Raw genomic sequence first — 6,418 nt, 5'->3', positions numbered from 1 at the left:
GTGCCATGACAGGAGGAGTGATGCATGCCAGGGGTAGAGAGGAATGAATGGCAGAAGGCACATATGCTACATTGGATATTTGGTCCCAAATCTTCACTTCTCTGTTACAGAATTATACATTTGTACCTTTCATCACACCTTTCATCATACAAGTTTATGGTGCTCTCCTACTGTGTACAAGAGTACTGTCCTATGCTATAGATAGTGAGCTTGGTTATGTAATCTGTTTTGGTCAATGGAGTGTTAGCAGACATGCTTTGAGAAAAGGTAAAAATGTGCTTCTGTATGCTGACTTGTTCACTTGCACTCCTTTGATTTACCCTGAGAAACACATGCCTCACAATTCTGATTCAAGGAGAGGACAGAGGTACATGGAGTAGACCAAAATGGAACCTGAATCCTGGGAATGAATCCACTGGACCTGGACACTAAAACAAAGCTTCCAGAGCCACCCACAAACCCACAGGCAAGAAAAAGAAATTCTTGTTGTCATCAGCCACTGAGATTTGGGGTGGTTCATTATTACATCATTATTATGGCAATAGCTAACTAATGCAGTATGATTCATCTTTGCCATCTGTGCCTAAACACTACACCATTTTATAACCATTGCACATTCTCTTGATATCAGTTTACTTGCTAGAGCTTCCAGAATTTTGAAACTTTTGAAAGAAGATGAGTATTATCCAATGTGCTTTTATAAACTTGTAAAAATTTGGAGGGATGTGGAAAGTAGAGACTGGGAGAAGTTTTGAACACCTTCTCCTTTAGAGAGCATGGAAACTCTTTTAAAGGCCATGGGACAAATAGCTGTTATCCTATGGGATTTCCAAATATGGAATATAAGGAACATAATAGTGCAGCCTATAGAGGAAGCAGCATGGAAAACTCACGTGTTCTTTAAGATCATTCATGTAATAATCTGGTTGAATACACCATTGCTAATTCTTATCACTCTTTATGTACTTTGTTCACTGTGATGTAATTTTTGTGTTCAAGGCTGTCTCCATGACTAGCAAGTCAACTAGGTAAGGGCTTAGACTTATTTCTTTGAAATAAAGGTTAAAATCTTGGTAGTATCAGATGATGTTAGGGTCAGAAATCTCAGAATCCCTGATCTCTGTTGTGCTAATCACTGCTGCTTCTATGGGATCCCAAGGAGCTAGTAAATAAACAAGTCATAACACAACAGGATTAATAATTACCTAAGCACCTGATACTGCAGCACAGCACTCTAGGTAAAGACTGGGCTGGTGCACATGACTTTCGTTTAAGGTCTAAACAGGGAATTTACTTCTCTTATTGCACACACTCTCTCCATTATAAATCTTGACATCTGCTGATTTTCTGAGAGCTGCTTGAAAGAAGTATAATGGAGGGTGGGTAACAACGTGGCTAGGCTTGAGGAGTAGAGTGTGACTCAGTTTACCTACTCTACCATGGGGTGTAGAAAGCAAAGCACAAAAGATTAGACTTGATTGCCCTAAGGATGCTACTTTTTGTCTAAGTATGTACATGAGAAGCATGAAATGCTGTATTTAAGGCATAGTAATCTCACACCTTAGAGAATGTGGCCTCTGCTCCCATCAATCAGATGACTCTTCTTTCTTTGCTGAGTGTCCCAGGCAGGATTGACATAAAGATAAGGGACTGAAGCTTTGCCTCTCCTATGCTGTGAATCACTATACCTCATCATTGATGTTAGGTCCAAGTAGATTGTAGCCACACAAGTGTATTTGTTGAACAAATGAAGAGTTGTGCTAGAGACAGTGGAGTCCAGCAAAAAGTAAATAACAATTCACAAACTGAAAGAACTGATAATCTATGAGGAAAGATTAGAAATGCTCCAATATCAGTTGGTCAACACACATCTGTTATGTTCTCTGTGCTAAAATTTGGGAATACAAAAGCAAATGAGATTGAATGTCTGCCCTCAATAAATTCATGGTCTGGGGAAGAACATAATTACATTGATAACTCTGGCAAAAGCCATGATAGAGCTAATAGAGGAATCTATGGGATGACAGAGAGATAGATGAACTTCACATCACACAAGTGAGGACTTTGTTTTTGAAGATGAGGAGGTGAAATCTAAGCTGGTTTTAGAGAGTTAATTAAAATAAGAAAGGAAGACAGGTAAGCAGACAAACCAAGAAGGCTTGTGTCTTAGTCCGTTCAGGCTGCTATGGCATGAATTCCTAAGGTTCCACTTCTTAATACTATTGCATTAGGGATTAGTTTTCAACAATTGATTTTGTGTGTCTGTGTGTGTGTCGGGGGGTGGGTAACAAATATGGAGACCATAGTAGCTTGCAAAATCCTGGCATGTTTGAAGAATGAATGTAAAATTCTGTATGATTAGATTGTAGGTTGTATACGTATATGTTGGGGTTTTGGTCTGGAAGAGGGTATAACAAGCTGGACAGTTAGAAAGTGGCAAATGATGTTCAGAAAGTCTATGAACAAGATCAGATAAGTGCAGTAGAAGGTTGGCATGAGGTTGTAGAGTAAAAAAGAAATTGTTTATGAGTGAGACAGTATTATTCATATTGTTTATGAATAATAACAAAAATAGACAAAGCCACGACTCTTGCATCTTTAATATGTGCTAAATATTTTATATATACCATCTCATTATATCCTCACTATCTCTTTGCAATAGATATATTTGTTTTCCACTTTTTAATAGAAGAAAACACAGCTCAGAGAGGTTATATGACTTGCCCAAATCACACGGCAGCAACTCCAGCCCATGCCTGTCTGCTCCTAAAACATATGATCCTAACCTTCAGCTCCTGTAACTGTGAAATGCATTTTAATGACGGGCAAGATGTGGGAGGCAGAGATGGGGATTATACATTTTATATAAAGACTACAGCATTGGCCACCTCCAGAGTTCTGAGGTACTGGGCCCCACAGGGAGCCTGAGAAATTACAAAGATTATGAAATGGATCCCCAGGTGTCAGCACTTACCTCCCCAATGCATTATCCCAGAAGAGTCTGCTGTCGTCTATTACAAGAGACACATATTCACCCTGAACTTGTAAAGAGCAATTTATAAAATGTGCACCAAAAAAAGTAAAACCTAGTACTGGAAGCTGACACTTGGACAAACTAGGGCAGAGAATAGTTTATTATTATGCTTTAATTTTCCAAAAAGAGAGTGCAGAGTTTTATCCTATTTATAATAAAAGTCACTGATATAATAAAAGCATCTCATCACATCAGCAGTCATTTCTACAAATAGAGCATTGACGGTTTAGATATTAACATGTGTTATAAATGTCATTGATATATTAAGACATTTTAGACTGTCTATCTAAAAATAGAAGGAAAGCCATGGGGAGGGAGAGGAGGACACAGAACTAATTCAATCAGAATATGGAGAACCTATTCTTGCACAATTAAGTCTTATATTTGTGAGCAATGCAAGTAAACACCTGAATCTGACTGATGATTTGAATTTGATTTGCCAGCAAAGTGTGATGCAGATAGGGGAAAAAAGGCAGGGAGAGAGGAAACAGAGAGTGGGGGACAAAAATATGTGGAATCAAATAATTTTAATATTGAAAAAGACTCAGTTTTATATTCTTCAATCATATTCCTTTGCAGCTGTTGAAACTGAGTCTTGGGAAGGTTATGCAATTCATCCTAGGTCAGAATTTCGTGGTGAAAGTCTTCTTAAATCTGACCTGCATGTCAAATCTTAAAGGGGGTAATAGGTATTTTTCTCTAATGAAAACCGGAAAGCTCTGCGGGTCAGGGAGAAAACAACTGAAAAGGTGTGGGCATAAGAATTAAGAAGAAAGAGAAGCGGAACATCAACGATATTTCGTACCTACAATCTGATGAAAGTATTTCATATAATATCCAATTTGATATTCAAAACACCCTTGGAAAGGAGGGCAATTAGATTCATTTATGAAGACACTCATTTTATTCATGAAGGCTCAGAGAAGTTAAGTCATACGCTCATGGATTGATAATTAAACTGGCATCACTGATTCCTGTCACCTGAGGTGCCAGGCTCATTCTTGACTGTCGAGTCCAAGGACAGAGTTCCTGCTTTACATTTCAACCTAAGCCTTGACCTTGGCTTCTCAGTGCCCTAGAGTGACAGGGCAATCACCTGCACTGCCGCCTCACTGCACAGGAGGCAAGGCTGAAGGTCAGAGGGGAAGGGCTTTCTTGAGGTCTCACAGAACCCAGTTAGGAGTTCTGTTTTCTCTGCCTGGCACAAATCTTTAGCATTGTCTCCTTTCCTTCTTTCCCTTGGATACAACTGTAGGACAGGTCAATTCTTGTCCTGCATTAAAATTTCCAAACTGTCCAAAAACAGGAAAAAAGTAAGAGGACAGGGAAAGTGCTGGATGGGTGGCCTAATTAAATTAAATTTTACTTTATTTTATTTATTTCTTGAGACGGAGTTTTGTTCTTGTTGCCCAGGCTGGAGTGCAATGGCGTGACCTCAGCTCACTGCAACCTCCGCCTCCTGGCTTCAAGCGATACTCCGGCCTCAGCCTTTGGAGTAGCTTGGATTACAGGTGCCCGCAACCATGCTCAGCTAATTTTTTTGTATTTTTAGTATGGATGGGTTTCACCATGTTGGCCAGGCTGGTCTAGAACTCCTGACCTCAGGTGATCCGCCCACCTTGGCCTCCCAAAGTGCTGGGATTACAGGTGTGAGCCACCGTACCTGGCCTGCCTAATTTAATTTTAAAAGAATAGAAACCAGTTATTGTACAATTAAGTCTTGTATTGGTGAACTATATAAAAAACTAAAAGTCTAGTTTATGCCTTGAATGCAACTCATTATCACAGTATGTTTTTAAGCAGGTTGAGAGATGCCACCTGGCGTGGGGAAGGGCACATGGGAAGAGGGAAGGAAAGAAGTAGAGAAAATAGAGATTTTGTGGGATTTAAAAATAAATGCTATGATCATTATAGTTGTAGTTTGCTAGTGTAAACTAGTGTTGTTCCTGTTGTTATTATTTTAGGCTCCTCTTAAGCTTTCCTGGAACTCTATAGCCATAAAAAAGCAAAGGAGGCTTTTTCTGCTCCTCCTCCTCTTCCTCTTTCTTCCACTTCTTTCTCTGCCTCTATATCCTCTTTAACCTTAGCCTTGCCTTCCTTTTTTTCACTTACCTGGTCATTAAAATTATAAATATGTATATATTATATTTCCCCTACGTGGAAGACTTAGCTCGATAGCTTAAAATGCCTACCAAAGCATTTCACCTCTGCATTTTATTTTTTCTAAATACAAATTACTTTTCTGATAAAGACAATACTTGCTTAATGTGAAAATAAACTAAACAAAATGAAGGCCTATACCACAGAAAGTGAACGCTCTTCAATGATGTTTACAGGCTGTATAGAAGCAGCACTCAGTGGTGAACCCCACTGCTCTGCCTTCCTTCCACCTGGGTCTATTTCTCAACTTTACCACTTTCCCCGTGTGACTTTGGGAAAGTCACTTAACTTCTTGAGACTCAGTTTCCTTAGGTGAAAAAATTGGGACTCAACCTCATAACCTGCCTCTCAGGATTACTTGTGAAGATTAAGTACAATAAGACACGTTAGCACAATGGCTGACAAATGGTGGAAACTCTCACATGTTAGCTACTCCAGTGAATCCCTCCAGATATGCAAATGCATGTGAGCAATAGGCTAATTTTAAGTATTGTATGCAATGAATGCTTTTTCCTCCTAAAATATTACATGGCCTCTCCCGATGTCTGTAGACAGGTCTCATTTTAAAAAATATTTAGTTCATTTTGTAGCTATACCTACTCAGTTCCTCAATGACAGTAATGGAGAAGATATGCTTTGTAACTTGGTTTTCTTTTGTAAGCAATGTTGCAGAAAACGTGCTAACTCAAGCATCTGAAAACTACTCAATTCTATCACTTAATTGGTCTGGTTGTTGTATGAGGCCTGCTGGGTTGCATAATCCCTTTTGAAAGGGGAAAAGATTTCCACAGTTCTTTTGCTTGGACTTTCCCTGACTGGGCCTCCCAAGACAACTCATTCAGCAAACATTTATCAGGACATCCCATGTATTTGAAGACAAACCCAGAACAGTTCTGGGTGTGGAGACTCACAGTCTGATGGAGGAATGAGATGAGATACTATAGAGACACTGAGAAATTAAACAGCAAAAACAAACTTGAAGTTATCTCCCAATTCTGATAGAAAATGGTCAGAATTTACATTATGATTGTTCTATAACTATCTCCCAGATTTTTGGCTACTCTTGAGGTTCTTTGAAAAGGATAATTTGGCCTCAGGATCCCTGGGGCCTGAGGATGACCTGGGTCTCAGAAGAGTCTGGCTGGGTTTATCTAATTCTTGTCTTTGTCCTGTTTCCTTGGTCCCCATTACAACCACAACCAAAGGGCGCTATTAGAGACCTCT

This window comes from Homo sapiens, chromosome 9 (genome assembly GCF_000001405.40).
Source record: "Homo sapiens chromosome 9, GRCh38.p14 Primary Assembly".
Taxonomy (NCBI): Eukaryota; Metazoa; Chordata; class Mammalia; order Primates; family Hominidae; genus Homo; species Homo sapiens.
The sequence above is the reverse complement of the archived record's forward strand: the minus strand, read 5'-3'. Positions refer to the sequence as shown.